This window comes from Homo sapiens, chromosome 5 (genome assembly GCF_000001405.40).
Source record: "Homo sapiens chromosome 5, GRCh38.p14 Primary Assembly".
Lineage (NCBI taxonomy): Eukaryota > Metazoa > Chordata > Mammalia > Primates > Hominidae > Homo > Homo sapiens.
Window position 1 is genome coordinate 143582315 of NC_000005.10, and position 18036 is coordinate 143600350.

The 18036-nt window shown below is 40.3% G+C and overlaps 1 long non-coding RNA gene across 1 annotated transcript in view, besides 6 other annotated features; it reads left to right on the plus strand.

Annotated features, from left to right (window-relative positions):
• Positions 1–16120, plus strand: part of LOC105378209 (uncharacterized) — a 37122-nt gene extending 21002 nt beyond the window's left edge. Inside the window, exons 2-4 of the long non-coding RNA XR_944375.1 lie at positions 4349–4385; positions 5129–5178; positions 15704–16120. This is a non-coding gene — a long non-coding RNA (uncharacterized LOC105378209). The remainder of the gene's footprint in view (positions 1–4348; positions 4386–5128; positions 5179–15703) is intronic.
• Positions 10410–10469: an enhancer, noted in NCBI's record as "active region_23349". NCBI's record gives its function as "activates an Ori minimal core promoter by ATAC-STARR-seq in GM12878 lymphoblastoid cells {active_cell/tissue: GM12878}" and the evidence as "EXISTENCE:reporter gene assay evidence [ECO:0000049][PMID:35858748]".
• Positions 12927–14126: an enhancer, noted in NCBI's record as "P300/CBP strongly-dependent group 1 enhancer chr5:142974806-142976005 (GRCh37/hg19 assembly coordinates)". NCBI's record gives its function as "activates an origin of replication core promoter dependent on BRD2, BRD4, P300/CBP, MED14 and CDK7 cofactors, with strong dependence on P300/CBP, by STARR-seq in HCT116 cells {active_cell/tissue: HCT116}" and the evidence as "EXISTENCE:reporter gene assay evidence [ECO:0000049][PMID:35650434]".
• Positions 12927–14184: a biological region, named in NCBI's record as "P300/CBP strongly-dependent group 1 enhancer GRCh37_chr5:142974806-142976005".
• Positions 13890–14184: an enhancer, noted in NCBI's record as "tiled region #10152; HepG2 Activating DNase matched - State 5:Enh". NCBI's record gives its function as "activates a minimal TATA promoter and a strong SV40 promoter by Sharpr-MPRA in HepG2 cells {active_cell/tissue: HepG2}" and the evidence as "EXISTENCE:reporter gene assay evidence [ECO:0000049][PMID:27701403]".
• Positions 14005–14149: an enhancer, noted in NCBI's record as "145 bp enhancer 27 fragment used in the MPRA reporter construct; PK_construct_1637". NCBI's record gives its function as "activates an SV40 promoter by MPRA in HepG2 cells {active_cell/tissue: HepG2}" and the evidence as "EXISTENCE:reporter gene assay evidence [ECO:0000049][PMID:23512712]".
• Positions 14071–14084: a transcriptional cis regulatory region, noted in NCBI's record as "HNF4 motif; MPRA enhancer 27 activity is reduced when this motif is scrambled". NCBI's record gives its function as "necessary for full MPRA enhancer 27 activity {active_cell/tissue: HepG2}" and the evidence as "EXISTENCE:site-directed mutagenesis evidence [ECO:0005528][PMID:23512712]".
• Positions 16121–18036: the final 1916 nt, after the last annotated feature.

Here is an 18036-nt window from a genome sequence, read left to right on the forward strand (position 1 = left end):
TAGATCAGAACACGGTATAGGAGTACTGCCCATCAGGGGGGCTGAGGGAAACGAACTCTTAAGTAGCTCTTACATTTCCTGGTCAAAGAAAGGTAATTCTCTCATCCTGTGGTCATTGCAGCAGCTGGAGCTTTCAATATCTGGGAGGCTGGATTCTTTAGTTGACCTCAACGTTGGTTTTGCTAGCACCAAGTTACCCTAAGGCTTTCTGTTTTTTTTTTTTTTTTTTTTTTTTAATGGCAAATAAGTTCAATCAGCAGGTTGGAATAGCGAAGCTCACTGGACAAAGCAGCTTATTGCCTTACAAACCTGGGGCTGAATTATTAATAATACAGAACAGGTATGCACTTAAAGTCCCACCAGCAAAACAGGGGCTCTAAAGAGAGATGCAGGGAGGGAGAGGAGAGAATAATTCAGTTAATTAAACATATTCAGAAATTTGCCACCTGTAAAGCCAGAGTGAAATTACTTTCATTTCTGTATGCACATACATTTTGTGTTTTACAGGTAAGCATTGTTTTCAATTACAGAGAGGAGAGCACCATCAACTGTCAATGCTTATGGTTTCTAAACATCTTAACCCAGTCCAGTTTAGGTCAGTTTCCTTTGAGTAGAAGAAATCCTGATCCATGACCAGAGATTATACCCTAGACTATACAAACAGATCTCTTGCAAGTGCCTGTCTCAAGGCGGATTGAGAAAGAGCATCTGCAGCTCAGCGTTGACTCGTCATCTCTCAGTGAATAATAAAGGAAATGCATATCCTATAATAGTGGGCCAGAGTCTCACCTCTTCATGTGACAAATGACACGTGCTCAGTCTAAATAAAGCTCTTTACTTTATGAAATACAACGGCACCAAAGCCTTATGCAGCTCTAGGTCTGCCCCACATTTCTCCACAGGCAAATGACATTTAAGTCCATGGATGGATGCCTTTTCTTGATGTTCACACAGGAAACATATCATTCCCTATTCGACTCTATTAAGTTACTTCACTTGATCACATGTTCAAGCTTTCGTGGTCTTTTTTTCTAAAAATTATATTCTCCAGAAAAGGGGTGGTGATCTTGCCTTTCCCTTATTCCAGACTTTAAGGAGATGAAAACCAGGTGTAGGAAAGAGGAGGGTAAACATCAGGATATTAACAGAAAGAGGAAGAATAGAGGGGACAGTCAGGTGGTCCAGGAGACTGGAAGTAAATTCAGTTCACGTTCACCACATGCCACAGCAACAAAGATAACACACTTCCTGGTTTGAGTAGCTTATGCCTTAGAGCAGAGGTTCTCCATCTTTTGAGTCATACCTGATAGATAATATTTCATATGTTCAACCCACTTGCATTACTAATATGGACACTTCTGGACTGTGGCACTCACTGATTAAATACTCTGCAGATTGTATATAGTTCTGAGCTCAGGAACTACAAATCCTCCTCTTTCCCTATGTTCCCCTGTTGCACATGTTGTGGCTGAACTCCCTGTCTCTATTTCCCACCTTCCCCAATGAGTAGCAGTCATGGGGTAAGGGTGATAGTGACCCATTCCTGGCTCTAGGAGTAGGCGTTGATGAACTTAAGCAAACCAGTTGTCCATTCTTTTAGATTCAGGGGAAGGCATTTGACCTATGATTTCCTGGAGGGAAAACCAGGACTGTGGTTTGACTGTTGGTTGAGAAGAGGTCTGTGGGGAAGAGAAGATCTTTCTCCTAGATGTGGTACAGTGTGGATGTGAAACCTAGAAGTGCTGCTGCCATTTTGCTACCATGTGTGAAGTCAGCATGAGACAAAGTAGCAGAACAAAGAGAATTGCAGATCAAAGGAGCTAGAGCCAAACAAAACTGTATCTAAAGTCCATATAACACACACAAACCTATATTTATTGGTGTATTTTAGTTATAGGAGCTAATAATTCTCTATTATTCTTATTTAAAAAAATTATTTCAATAGGTTTTGGGGAATAGGTGTTTTGGGTTACATGGATAAGTTCTTTAGTGGTGATTTCTGAGATTTTGGTGCACGTGTCACCTGAACCGTGTACACTGTACCCAATGCGTTGTCTTTTATCCCTCAACCCCCTCCCATCCTTCCCCTGCCAAGTCCCCAAAGTTCATTATATCATTCTTATGTCTTTGCATCCTCATAGCTTAGCTCCCATTTATAGGTGAGAACATATGATATTTGGTTTGCCATTCCTGAGTTACTTTACTTAGAATAATGGTCTCCAACTTCATCCAGGTTGCTGAAAATGACATTATTTCATTCCTTTTTATGGCTGAGTAGTATTCCATAGTATATGTATACACCACATTTTCTTTATCCACTCATTGGTTGATGGGCATTTAGGCAGATTCCAAATTTTTGCAGTTGCAAATTTTGCTGCTATAAACATGCATGTTCAAGTATCTTTTTCATATAATGACTTCTTTTCCTTTGGGTAGATACTCAGTAGTGGGATTGCTGGATTGAATGGTAGTTCTACTTTTAGTTCTTTAAGGAATCTCCATACTCTTTTCCATAGTGGTTGTACTAGTTCACATTCCCACCAGCAGTGTAAAAGTGTTCCCTTTTTACCACATCCAAGCCAACATCTATTATTTTTTTATTTTTAAATTATGGCCATTCTTGCAGGAGTAAGGTGATATCACATTGTGCTTTTAATTTTCATTTCTCTGATAATTAGTGATATTGAGCGTTTTTTCATGTTTATTGGCCATTTGTATATCTTATTTTGAGAATTGCCTATTCATGTCCTTTACCCACTTGTGGATGGGATTATTTGTTCCAGTACTTGACAAGTGGGCAAGGGACATTATTGGTATAAAATCTACCAATAAATAAAGATATGTATTTTGCTGATTTGTTCGAGTTCCTTGTAGATTCTGAATATTAGTCCTTTGTCAGATGCACAGTACCTTCTCTTTATTGTTTAATTCAGTTTGAACTGGGTTTTGGGAACTTGCCACCAATAGCACTGATCCATATAAATGACTTTTCAACACTGTGGCTAAGAACCTCTGGGTTAGAGGAAATTCAAATAAGTTACTGACAAATGAAGTAAATAATAATAATGATAATATTAAAATCAGAAAGTGAGTGACAGCATTTAGAAAGATGTCCTTGGGTTAGGTTGGTAGTAGTTTTGGAATGCAGCCAAGGAGACAGAAAACAGCAAAAGTAAACCCCAGGTAAGGAAATACTTATATTTCTTAATTGGTTCTAAAATATATAGAGTTATTCAAGAGGGTTTCCAATCATAAAGCTATAAATTCAGAAACTGTAATGGTAGAGGTACTGCTAGAATAAGAGGCCCCTGGGAAAGCAAGTTAAGGCAGGTTGGAGTGGGTAGGCAGCTTTCAGGATGTCTGGAAGGTGGTAGGAAGGTTTGGATGAGAAATGCTAAGATTGCTGGAGTAACTAATGAAGCTCATGTCTGATGCTGCTGATGTATTACAAAAATCTCAGAAGCCCGGAGTATTGAAGCCAATGGTAAATTCAATAAGTATTTGATCACTGACAGAAAAACAAGTGTTCCAGGCATATAGGCAGCTAGTTTGTGTGAATCCGTAGTGTATTTAAACCAGCATGTTAAAGGGGCCTATAGAGAAGGTAGTCCCTAAGAATCTATCACTTTGTTGATTCAAATAAGACATAGCATCTTTTGCCATGTCTTCAACTACAGTGTTTGTGTCTTTCTTTTAAGATTGTTTTTCCTCCTTCCCTCCCTGTTCACTTTCTTTCTTTTTTTTTCCCTTCCTTTATCTTGTATGTGGATGCTGACATTTATGTATAGATCTCCCTCATACTGAGATCACTAATGCTGGTGGCTTTAGATATAGACTGTGCAAGTTCAGCCTGAGTGGTTCTAGACAGTTCCTTGAACTTGACTGCATTCAGGAAATGTTAAATATTTCCTGGAAATTGCCTGAGTCAGTGCAAGACTCAATGATAAAGCATATCCTGCAAGTCCTGAATGCCACATGTAGGCAGAGAAAAGGCAAAGCAATTTTCCAGCTGTTTAAATAATGAGCACAGGAGTCCCTTCAGGGGGTTCCTTTGAGTAGAAAAGCAAGTTAAGGCAGGATGGAGTGGGCAGGCAGCCTGCAGGATGTCTGGAAAATTAAGTGGGAAAGAAGACAGTGTGGTGGTACGAAGTCGTTTGAGCTCTAAAAGGACAGGTCCTGGGAAAGACTTAAGGCTGGAAACAAACCAGAAACATCCTTCATTTTCATCTTTCCAAACACAGCTTTGTTATTATCTAAGACAGTTGAAGAAAAAGAAAAAATTGACGTGCCTTTGGAAAATTCAAAATGTGTCATTTCTGTCTCAAAAGTCCTGTATTTTGTCTTGCAGTTCAGAGACTGGAGATGGGCAGTGTCACCCATATCAGGTATGTGGTTGAGTAATGTCTTAGAAACAAAATATGTTCCTCTTTGGTTCCAGATGCTTGGGTTTCTAGAGTCTGGCAGGACTAGTAATCTTGAATCTGTCTACTTCACACAAAGTTTGACCAAGTCTCACAGGGTTTGGGACCCTCACAGTTTTGTCAGGAAACCAGCCTACCTTTTTTCCCTACTCCTCTTCCCTCCCTCCCTCTTGCCATTCATTCAAACAGTGGTACAAAGAACACTAACAGGTGTCATACACTGAGGTATGTGTTGGGAATAGAGATGAGTAAACATGGTGTCTGCCTGAGGAGCTTATTCCCTAATAAAGGAGTCAAACATGAATAGATAAGTTATAATATGGAAAGATGAGTGTTATGAAGAACCCAGAACTGTGGGAGCCTGAGTCCAGCTGCAGTTCCCTGGCAGGGGAGTGTCAATACCCTTCCAGTTAAGGTGGGGTGGAGGGAGCTCACCAAATGCCTCCAGAGAGCCAGGCGCCAGAGTTTATCAGCTATCAGGAAGTTCTGATACCAAGAATAATATTTTAGATGGAAAGAAATACTTTCCTGCAGTGGTTTGAGGAGATGGTGTTGCAAAATTTTCACATTTTCTTTTATATACTGTAGTTTAGAGAGGAAATTATCCTTTTCTTCTGGGGGTGGGGGGTAAGTTGGCAGATTTTTCTGTCAAAATTAAAAATAGACATAAAAATACACATCCTTGGACTCTGCAATTCTATTTCTAGGAATATTCCCTCAGATACAGTCAGAAGAATATACAAGGATAAATGTACAAGTAAGTTGATTATAACATTGTTTGTAACAGTAAAAAACTAAATAATATAAATATCTAATTATAGGGGAATGGCTAAATAAGTTATGGTATACTATGGAATGCCATGCAACAGTTTAAAACAATATTATAGAGCTCTATATACTGAAAAGAAAGGGATTGTTAAGGAAAAAAGAATGCTGCAAATAATTGATATAGTCTGATGTCAACTATGATTTAAAAAAATTCTACACACATACATATACATCCATCTATCTGTCTGTCTGTCTGTCCGTCTGTCTGTCTGTCTGTCTATCTATCTATCTAAATATATGGAAAAAAAGCACTGAGGGATGTGCACTAAGCTGATAAAAGCAGCTATTTCTAGGGAGGGGAATAAGGTTGGGAGTGGGGAATGGGATGGGTAAAAGGGATATTAACTTGTATATGTTGCTATATCACTGGCATTTTTCCTGAATATACATTCTTGTATCACTCAGGCTAAACATAAAAACATTTTCAATTCCTATGGCATCTGAAATGCTACCATGGGCATAAGCTGCATAAAAATGGCCTTTAATGCTTATATGCTGTGGTGGGAACGTAAATTAGTTCAACCATTGAGGAAGACAGTGTGGCAATTCCTCATAAACTAAAGACAGAAATACCATTTGACCCAGCAATCCCATTACTGGATATATAGCTGATATGGTTTGGCTGTGTCCCCACCCAAATCTCATCTTGAATTACAGTTCTCATAATCCCCATGTGTGGTAGGAGGGAATCCAGTGCAAGGTAATTGAATCATGGGGGCAGTTTCCTCCATGCTATTCTCGTGATGCTGGTAAGTTCTCAGGAAATCTGATGGTTTTATAAGGGGCTTCCCCCTTCACTCCCCCTCAGCCCTGCAGAACCATGAGTCAATTAAACTTCTTTTCTTTATAAATTACACAGTCTTGGGCAGTTCTTTATAGCAGCATGAGAACGGACTAATACAATACCCAAAGGAATATAAATCATTCTATTATAAAGATGCATGCATGCGTATGTTCACTGTAACATTATTCACAATAGCAAAGACATGGAATCAACTTAAATGCCCATCAATGGTAGACTGGAGAAAAAAATGTGGTACATATACACCATAAAATACTATGCCAGCACAAAAAAGAATGTGATCACGTCCTTTGCAAGAACATGGATTGAGCAGGAAGCCACTATCCTTAGCAAACTAACACAGGATCAGAAAACTAAGCGCTGCATGTTCTCGCTTGTAAGTGGGAGCTAACTGATAAGAACACATGGACACATAGAGGGGAACAACACACGCTTGGGCCTATTGGAGAGTGGAGGGTGGGAGGAGGAAGAGGATCAGGAAAAATAACTAATGCGCACTAGGCTTAATACCTAGGTGATGAAATAACCTGTACAACAAACCCCCATACCACAAGTTTACCTATGCAACAAACCTGCGCATGTACCCTAGAACTTAAAATGAAAGTTAAAAAAATGGCCTTCAACATTCTGAAAGTTCCCCAAAGGGAAAAGACCTCAAACTTGATTTTTCTAAATCATACCTAAGGTTCTAGGAAATGAGTTAGACACACAGCAATGCTCATGCAAATGCGTGACACCTCCAAGCTGAGCTTCTTTGCTCTGCGCAAATGGTACCACAGTGACAATGTGAAAAGAGAAAAGTTTGGTCAATTTAACTAGCTGCTTCAACTACCAAACTGGGTCTCTTCCTCCCCCATACGGCTCATCGACAACATCAGCCAAACCAGTTATACTTGTTGTCATGCAGATAATAAACCCAATTATTAGACTGAAATGTTCCCTTTTCCACCAGTAGCCATCCCTTCTTGTATAGACATAACCAAAAATGTGCACAGTGCTCTCCTGTTATTAAATTGTCGGCTTCTCCTTGTTCAAATAATCTTTGAAGCCATTTCTTGGCAGGAATGAAGGACTTCTCAGCTCAAGAGATAACATCAATCCAGTTTTCAGGAAGGCATACAGGAAAACGGGACTTTGGAGTCTGACAGAGCTAGATCTGAGTCCTGTCTGTCTCTCAAAGGCTCTATGATGGTGAGCTAGTTCCTGGACCTGTCAGGGCTTTACTTTCATTATCTGCAAATGAGAAGAATATTCTCTAATTCAGTTGCTTCCTGTAAAACTTAAATGTGACTTGTGAAGCACCTAGCACAGTGCCAGCCATATAGTTCCTGTATTGTTGTAAACATATTGAAGAAAAACATGTTTTTTGCATTTGATTTAAAAGTAGAATCATCCTGAAATTATCATTTGGTCCAAAGCTTTCCTTTTCATTTGCCTTTATAAATTCAACCAAGGCCTCTCTTCTGGCTTGAGAAATGCCTTGGTCTTAGGTTAAAGGGCAGTTTGGTTTTCAGGTGAGCAGGGTTGGCATAGCTTGGGACAACCTCGTGGGACTCTGTTTCCTGCAGTATATCCATGGCTTCAAAATATCTGGTAATACTAAAAGCAAACTTTTTTAATTGAAAAAAAATTTTTTTTTTTTTTGAGATCGAGTCTCGCTCTGTCACCCAGGCTGGAGTGCAGTGGCGTGATCTAAGCTCACTGCAACCTCTGCCTCCTGGGTTCAAGCAATTCTCCTGCCTCAGCCTCTTGAGTATCTGGGACTACAGGCACCCGCAACCATGCCTGGCTAAGTTTTCTATTTTTAGTAGAGATGGGGTTTCACCATCTTGGCCAGGCTGGTCTTGAACTCCTGACCTCAGGATCCACCCACCTTGGCCTCCCAAAGTGTTGGGATTACAGGCGTGAGCCAATTTTTTCTTTTTATTTTTCAGCTTCATTGAGATAAAATGGACTAATAAAAATTACATATATTTTAGGTATATTACTTGATATTTGTATACATTGTGAAATAATCACTCATACAAGCTAATTTATACATCTGTCCCACAAAGTTACTATCTTCTTTCTGAAAGCAAATTTTTATAAACTGGTAATTCCAGGTGAAATTGGACTTCAGACAATTTACCAAGAAGATACTCAGGCAAGCATTAACTATTTGGTCTGATTATTATTATTATTATTATTATTATTTCAGACTGGGTCTCACCTGTCACCCAGGCTGGAGTGCAATGGCACCATTTCGGCTCACTGCAACCTCTGCCTCCAGGGTTCAAGCGATTTTCTTGCCTCAGTCCCCCAAGTAGCTGGGATTACAGGTGTGCACAACCATGCCCTGCTAGTTTTTGTATTTTTAGTGGAGATGGGGTCTCCCCATGTTGACCAGGCTGGTCTCAAACTCCTGACCTGAAGTAATCTGCCCGCCTCGGCCTCACAAACTGTTGGGATTACAGGCGTGAGCCACTGCGCCCAGCCTGGTCTGATTCTTATGGGCAATTTTACTTCATAGCCCTCTGAATCAGTCTGTTCTCATGTTGCTGATAAAGACACACCTGAGACTGGGTAATTTATAAGGAAAAATAAGTTTTTATTGTACTCACAGTTCCATGTAGGTGGGGAGGCCTCACAATCATGGCAGAAGGTAAAAGACACATCTTACATAGCGGCAGGAAAGAGAGAAAGCTTGTGCAGGGAAACTCCCCATCATAAAATCATCAGATCTCCTGAGACTTATTCACTATCGTAAGAACAGCCTGGGAAAGACCCTCGGCCATGATTCAATTATCTCCCACCTTGTCCCTCCCACAACATGTGAGAATTGGAGCTACAATTCAAGATGAGATTTGGGTGGGCACACAGCCAAACCATATCACCCTCCTATTCTCCTGTCATGGCAGTGAGAAGTGGACAGTTCTGCAGGCAGCAGCAAGCCCCACCTACTTCTTGGTCCTCTCTAGAAAAACCAAATAACCAGGGCAGTTATAAAAAGTATATTCAGCCGGGTGCAGTGGCTCGTGCCTGTAATCCCAGCACTTTGGGAGGCTGAGGTTGGTGGATCACCTGAGGTCAGGAGCTCGAGATCAGCCTGGCCAAAGTGGTGAAACCCTGTCTCTACTAAAAATACAAAAATTAGGGGCGTGGTGGTGGGTTCCTGTAATCCCAGCTATTTGGGAGGCTGAGGCAGAAGAATCACTTGAACTCAGGAGGCAGAGGTTGCAGTGAGCTGAGATCGCCTCACTGCATTCCAGCCTGGGAATGCAGCCAGCAAGACTCTATCTCAAAAATAAATAAATAAATAAATAAATAAATAAATAAATAAATAAATGTATATTCAGCTACTTATCTTCAGTCCACCATGAGGACTTACTTATGTCTGGAAGATGATCAACCTGAGATATGGGGAAACAGTGAACCGCATTAAAAGCCTAACTTAGAACACTGCCTTTATAATTTGGGAAGGTGCGTAATGAAAGAACTGTGAATGTGGCTGTATTCCCAATGAATGGAGCTCCCCATAAATTACAACCCAGTCCCTTGGCCGGGCAACCATCAAGGTGAGCAGAATGCCTCCTGGACGATCCCTTTCACAGAGCTGCTTGGCCAGGCTGGCAAATGAGTGCGTGAACAGAGGAAGGTCACCCAGTATGCTGTGCAGCTGGATTGTAAACTACACCGTTGGACTTCAGAGTCCAAGCTCAGAACCTCTGCAGTAATGGAAAGTCATACAGATTCCGTCATCATGTTCCAGCCAGGTGACCTTGGGCAGGTGCACAACTTCTCTGCAGCCTCAGTTCCCTCATCTATAAAAATGGGAATAATAAGAGGTGCTCCCTCAGAAGCAAGTTGTGAGGATTAAACACATCTCGAGTTTATCACACAATGTCTGGCACATAGTAAGTGCTCACACATTGTTGTTTATTATTATTATTTATGAATCCTGGATTCCTATCATAGCACAAACAGGTAGGCATTATTGCCATTTCACAGTGAGGAAACTGAGGCTTAGGGGTGTTAAGGGGCTTACCCAGATGAGAAAGTGAGTATAGAGTTAGGGCTCTCTGGCTTGATGTGATTAGATTAGTTCCTAAATACCAGTGACACAGTTTACCCATCCCCTGCATGGAGGAAGCTGGGTATTAGTGGATGGTGAGGGAAATAGAACTGGAACTATGGGGTGCTCCTTTTAATGTCAACCCAGGAATGAACTCTTTAAGTGCCCCCCACCAGTCAGGCTCCCCACCAGCCCACTGGGCTCCTGTCCCAGCCAGATTCCCTCGCAGAAAGCCCTCTTACAGCCAGGCCAGTAGCCTTCTTCTTCACCCCATTCCCAGTAGCAGCAGGCATGTGGAGAACCCATCTGTCTCCTTCCCACAGTGGGAGAGGGCAACTGAGGGGCCAGGGCTCAACTGCGCAGGCAGCAGCGTTTGAACCTGTGGACCAGCAGAGGTGGGCATGGGCCCTTTGAGTCTGTTGGCTGTGGCAGAAAACTAAATCTGGAGCCCCTCACGTGACAGGAAGCTGCCTATGAATAAGTCTGTGCTCGGTGTGCAGCTGTGTGGACATCCAGGGCATGAGGAAAACAGAAACCTCTGTCAGGCAGTCCAGCAAAAAAAAAAAAAAAAAAAAAAAAAAAAAAAGAAAAGAAAAGGTCAGGAACAAGAGCCCCTGCAAGAGATTTTAAAACTTTTTGGTGTATTTCATGCACCATGAGGACACATGCTGCTCTCTGGACTGGGTCTATCCAAGTCCACAGAGCTTTCTAGATTAAATCTTTGTTGTATAGCAACTTCTGTCATTTATTCAACAATATTTACCAAGTGCGTAATTGATGGTAGGCACTTGCTGGATGCTGGGTAGAGCAGGGAACACAGCAGACCCCATCATTTCCATCAGGGAGCTTATGTTCTAGAAGGGAGAGTGGCAATAAATAAGTACTTAAAATAACCGTTATATGAATTATTACAGGGATTAGCATAATGAAAGAAAACGCAAAGAATGGAGGAACTCATCTAATTTGGTGGTGGTGGGGCAGTTACAAAAAGCCTTTTGGGATGAAGTGATCTTTAAGTTAAGACTTGAAGTTTACAGCGAAGTTGGCCACCCAAAGAGGAATAGAATGGAGAGAAGATCATTTTCATTCATTTACCCATGCATCATTCATTTATTTATTCAGCAATTACTTATTGCATACCTCCTGTTTTCAGGCACTTTTCTGGAAGGCAAAGAAAATCAGGTGAAAATTGCTATGCTCAGAGTTAAATTCCCAGTTCTTTTGATTATCTATTGCAAGTACTTTAAACTTAGCTTTAGAAAATAAAGGCTAATGTGGGTCATTCTCCTATCTTTCAGCACTAGTCATCCTTTATAGACAGTGGGGTACCAGGGAATGCCCAAGCAGACAACAAGGAAAGGGAGACAACCCAGCGCCTGACTTTTAAAGCGATCCTTTTTTTCTCAGGCCTTGGTGAAGTTATAGGCACCACCTGCCTTGGGAAACAGTGAAACTTTTACTGCAGTTCAACAGTATCGCACTTGTTGAAGCATGCAAATTTGAGAAGAATGAGGTTGTAGGGGCAGGTGGATGGAGGGGGTAGTTGAAAATAGTTTTTGTAAAAGGAGAAAAAGAACGGAGCCGGAATGTCTGTTCCCTTTAGGGGAGCCAACACACCTGCAGCACCTGATACAAGCGTGAACATATACAATAAACATGGCTCAGTGCTTGGTGGACACAGAACTGTGTGAGCTCTAGAGAACCTTGTGGGATTTACATTGTGACAGTTTGTTAAACGCTGGAGGCTGTAATAGCAGATAAAGAACTGGAGCTATAAAATGATTGTTTCACTTCATCTGTTAGGTTAGGCAACATGTGGAGGTCATTGTTTCAAACAATTGAACAAAATTTCAAAGTTTTGTCTTTGTTCATTAAAGAAAATGTATATGACAAATCAAAGGTGTGTTTTATGGATTGTAGATTTAGGGTGATATTAAGAGACTTTTAATTTGGAGAATTGGTTCTTTGCAAAATAAGAAGGACTGGATATAATACAACCAGCTGGATATGGTGCAGGTGTGCTTGATTCATCTTCAATGGGCGTCAGCAAAGTAGTGGCTAAGACCTTGAACTTGGAGTCAAGATGGGCCACCCTTTATTTGCTGTGAATGTTGGCAAAGCTATGTCTCATTTTCTTCATCCATGAGTTGAGAATAATAATGGTAACTCTTCCATGGTTCTGAGGATTAATTAACACAGGTAATATATGTGGTGCCTAGCACATGGTAAGTACATGTTATTAATATCCATTTCTAAGGCTCCTTGGTGACAGTTTCGACCATCCTAGATATTTTAGTGAAGCTACTGTATGTATATGGATATTTGTCTCTCTGGTTGATTTTTCTAACGTTGGTTAAAAATGTATCCAGAAGAAGAAATAAAAATAACAATCATCCTCCAGTTTTAAAAGCAGATGAGTTCTTGAGAAGAGGGCAAATGAGTCTGTATATGGAGCACAGGCCCAGCCACTTTTACATTTTATTTGTTTATTTTAAAAAAGACCACATTTCGCTTTGTTGCCCAGGCTGGAGTGCAGTGGTGCAATCACAGCTGACTGTAATCTTGAACTCCTGGGATCAAGCAGTCCTCTCACCTTGGCCTCCTGAATTATTGGGATTACAGGCATGAGCCAACATGTCTGGCTGACCCAGCTACTTTAGAGATCAATAGTGATCTCCCATCTGCTCCCCCACAGGCATAACCAACAATCTCATGCTGAGAACTGATGCTTCTCTCTGCCTTTGCACATTGTAAACATGGTGCATTTGCTGCATTTTCCTATGATCTTCTGCTAAACTCAGGCCTTTTATTTACAGACAAACGGTGCGACTTTTACACAGGCATCATGGGAGTAAGCCCAAGATATTTTCTCACACTTGATTCCAGGCATGTGGGGTTTGGTTTCTTGATCAAATATCTGTGTTTGCTCTGTTTACAAGTATCTGATGAGCAAAACCAACAGAGGTGCTCCAGACAGGCTGGCTGTGCTGATCCCTTGGAAAAGAATTAAACAAAACCCAGTCTTTGTGTGAGTACTGTCCTAGCGTGCTGACTGATCTATTTGCTGATTAAATTCTTAACCTGTACCTATTTGATGCTTACGTCAGTTTTGCGTCTTTGAACCCTAATTTTGCAGTGCTTTAGTGACCAATTTATTTTTTTCAGTAAACTGCATAAATGACTCATCAGCAGGAAATGTGAATAAATAGTCAACTTAACTGAAAATACAAATAAACATATCTTTCTTTTGTGAGGAGGATTTGCTTAAAGGGGAAAAAAACCTTGGGAGGATGGACTATAGTTCCTAAGAGGGCATAATCTTCTGCTTTTTCTGTGGGATTCTAGCCCCCTTTTCTGGGCAGGGATGGCATGAGCCCAGCTACTAAGGAGATATCTGTCCACATGACATTTATTAGTTTAGAAGTGGTAGCCTCTTCATCAGGAATTTAAGTAATTTTTAAAGAGTTACCTGATGAGTGCATACATGTATGTGTACGTGCATGTGTACGCGTGTGTGTGTGTGTGTGTGTGTGTGTGTGTGTGTTTTCTGGAATCCCTGTAAGTCATCTTTCTGGTCACTCATGTAGCCAGTGCTATGACCTCATATAATTGGAACTCTAATTCTACTGCCTACTAAACAGTCAATAATATTGAGCACTATTAAACATCTCATGAAAGAATAGCATTAGAATTAGCACCCAGATGGCATCATAACCATATGGGCACAATAATGTGGATATAAAGACATTTTCTTGATTACCATATCCACAGGACCTTTGATTCTGGAATTCTACATGGGATTCCTAATTTCCATGTAAATAGTTTTGTTAGCATGGCAATCACAGGCAGTCATTACAAGAACCTGTCTTGTATCTCTTAACTGAGATGAAAGAGAGGCAAAACGGAGGTGGTGATGAAAGCATTGCATAAAGAGTGACTTTCCATATTTCATGTCTGGATTAAATCCAAGTTTCAAAGTTCAGGAGGCCCCCTGAGCATGCTGGATACTTTCACTGATGACTCATGAGAGGTGTACATATTTTTCTCCCTTTGTTCAAGCGTGGTGACCAACTCCCTCTGCCCTCCCATTCTTATCTCCTTGTAAGTGCCCTAGGTGAGTATTTCCCCATCCTTCCCATCCTGTGATATGCCTGGGAACTTGCTGAGACACCACACTAGAAGAAAGGGTGAATCTCCCAGGGACTTTCACGCCATTATGACTTTTTCTATTTTTGTATGGAAAATATGAACCTCTAATGTTCTGATACTGGAAATCCAGAAGCTGGGCAAGTAACAGGTAAAATTCAAGGCAACATAGTATCCAGCCACAATGAAACTGAAAGAATATGGATAGGCTTGTACATGGTTTTGTTTTAAAGTAGTTCTAAATACTAAAGTTACAAATATTTTAAATTTACACATAAATACATAGAATTCTAATGATGGTTACAATCATTTAATAATAATACATCAAAAATTAGCAAAAGAGGAGAATCCAAGACCCTTCCTAAAAACCCTAAATAACTTCAATAAGAGCTAAAATATCAGGATACAATGTCTAAAACACCAGCTACACTCGATTAAGTTTCAGGGAAAAGCCAAAATAGACTCTTGTCTCTCTGACTCTGGGAATTCCAACTCAGGATGACCATGAAGAGATATGGGGACATTTTTAGGAGAGCCGTTTCAGCAGATCTTGTAGGTGAATGGGCAGACACATTAGCAATCTGGTATGAAATTCATCTTGGTTATCAGCCTGGAGTATTTCCACGTATTGATATCCTCTTTACTATCTTTCCAATTTTATTCTATTTAGTATTTATTATATGCATAGTTTTATTCTATTTAATATTTTCTTAATTTTTATTAGATTCAGATCTCTGGTTTTAAGACAATATTATTATATTACTTCTAATAATGATAGTAGTTAATACTTATTTAGTGTGGACTACCTTCTAGGCACAGTTCAAATTGCCATACAATTATTTTCTCTTTAATCCTCACAATACATTAATGAGATGGGTGTTACTATTATACACATTTTACCGATGTGAAAATGAAGGCGCTTAGAGGTGCTATAACTTGCCCAAGGTCACACAGCTGGTGTGGGGTGGCAGGATTTGATCAAAAGAAGTTTCTTCTCTAGCCAATGGATCAAACACATGCTCGGGGTCCAATCTCTACAGCCTCCCTGCACTCAGTGAGATGCTCACCAGTGGAGGGCAAGAGGCATTCTTATCTCACTGACCAAGTGTGGCTGGCCTCTCTCTGCTCACTGTACTCTGACGTTTCTTCTGTAACTCCTTTCACAGTGGTAATTAATGAGGAGTTGGGTGTTTATTGTCTATTTCCTCTACAAAATTATAAGCTTCTTGAGGGCAGGAACTATGCTTATTTGAATCATTGATGAATCCCCCCATTCCTAGCAGTGCCTCATACCTGACAGACATAAAGTACAAATTTTCTGAGTAAACAAATCTTCTTCTATAAAGAGTTATAATATTTGGGTGTCATTAATCTACACCACTAGAAATATTACCCAATGTAATGCCCATGTGACTAGGTAAATTTCTACCCCGCCTTAACTCTGCTCATCTTTAGGGAACAGGAGGCCTGACGTCAAAAGCTCCCCCTCGTGACCAAATCGACTGGGACTTGTTGGATCCAAGATGGCAGCTCACTTGACTTCTGAAGAACCTGGAACTTCATTATAATCAAATTTCCGTGCTAAATGACATTCCCGCGAGCACCATGACAGTTGACAATCACCATGACAATGACAGAAGAAACCATAAAATGACAAAAAGGAAGGCGGCAACTCTGGTTCTGAGTTTTCTGCCCATTTCCAGAAAAGATGTGAATATTCTTCTCTTTGCTTTTAATGCCTGACCCTGTCATTAGAGATATTCTGTATCTGTGACTTCCTGGTTTTCATAAGCTGAGAAGGTGATTTGTGAGCCAATCTCCTGGTTCTCAATTTCATGGCCATTGAATGAAGCTGGTACTGCTTGATGCTCACTTTCTGTTCTGTGTATTGGCTTCCTGGCACTGAAGAGGGAAAGACCTATTTTTGGGGTGGGGGCGGGGGGGACCAGCTTTATCAGTAACAGAAAGTTAGGACAGTCATTCCTTTTCAAGACACCTCTTCATCCTCAAAGATTAACAGCTCTTTCTTAATGTCATAACAATCAAAATTTGGAATTAAGCTCCTTATGGATCACGGGTGAGAGTGAATTTGCTCTTTGAAAGAACAGATGTCACAATATATGAACATATTTTCATTTTATTAAACATGCTAGTACAGTACAGTGGTTAAGACCTCAGAGGCTGGAGCTAGGGGCCCTGGGCTGGAATTCTGACTCTGTCACTTACATGTGAGACAGTAGGCATGTTATCAACTCAACATGTCTCAGTTTCCTTGTCTATAAAATGGGGATAATAATAGAACCTAACTTATAAGGGTGGTTGTGAGAATTAAATGTGTTAATATATGTAAAGTTTCTGAAATGGTGCCTAACAAAAAGTAATCATTATATAAATATTAACTACTCATCTTTCTAATGTGTTACTATTTTATGGTATTCTGTTTTCCTACTATTTTTATTTAGCTTGTTTATCATCATTGAACATTATTTTTACTATTTAATATTTTCTTTATTTAGAAGAATTTATTTTTCTAGGGCAGTTTTAGGTTCATAGCAAAATTGAGAGGAAGGTACAGGTATATTTCCCATATACCATTGGGTCCCATACATGCATGGCCTCCTCCATTATCAACACCCCCCACCAAAGTGGCACATTAGTTACAACAGATGAACCTGCATTCACACATCATTATCACCCAGAGTCCGTAGTTTACATCAGAGTTCACTCTTGATGTTGTTCATTCTGTGGGTTTGGACAAATGTATAAAGGCATGTGTGCACCATTATAGTTTCATATAGAGTAGTTTCAATGCCCTAAAAATCCTGTGTGTCCCTGAACACCTAAAGGAGGTCTGGAGTGGAGTGAGGCAATCAATTGGGGGGTGGGCTGAGGGAGCACAGCTGCAGAGACCGGCCTTGGAGGGCACCCTGAGGGTCCTGTGCTTCCATGGTACATGCAAAGCCAACCTCTCAAGGGCTACAAGCAGTGACATTCCATAAGCAGGTTTCCATTTTGGAGAGATCACCCTGTCCTCTTTGAGGGACGTGGGTTAGAAGATCACCTGGGACTTTAGCAGCCTTGGGAAGGCCCTGAGCCAGCAACCGCTCATACACTTAATTGGATCAATGAAAAAGGTCCAAATTCCTGTTGACGCTAACATCTGATCACCATAGAGCCCTACGACAATTTTAGAATCGGCAGCCTAATCCAGTGGTCTCCACTGTGGGGTGACACACCTCAGAAAGTGCACAAAACAATTCGTTTCAGAGTGGAAGAGAAATACTAGAACTTCTATTTTTAAAAATAATAAATACAACTAAATAACAAATTTCATTATTTCCAAATTGAACATTTCCTTTGTATGTTTTATAATGTATTATATAATATACATTATCTCATTTATAAACAAACAAATATGAGGTGGTGCTAAAGTGTTTTTACTGATTGAGCGCCGTTTCCTTCCATGCTGGAAGTCTCCTATCTGTGTCAAAGGCTATCCTGATTCAACCCCTGAAATTACTATTCCAGGACTTTATTGTCATATATGACAGAGATTTAGGGAAGACTTAGGCCAAAATTTATACCAATATATTAAAACAAATAAACATAATAAAGTAATTTAAAATTTAACATGTGCTTGTCTCTCATGCACAGCCATTCAGTGCTTGGGACAGTGCCTGACATACAGAACACGTTCAGTACATATTTGTTGAATGAATAAATGGATTAAGGAATAATCATTTGTTGAAAAATAAAGTCAATTCTATGATCTAAAACTTACCTACTAA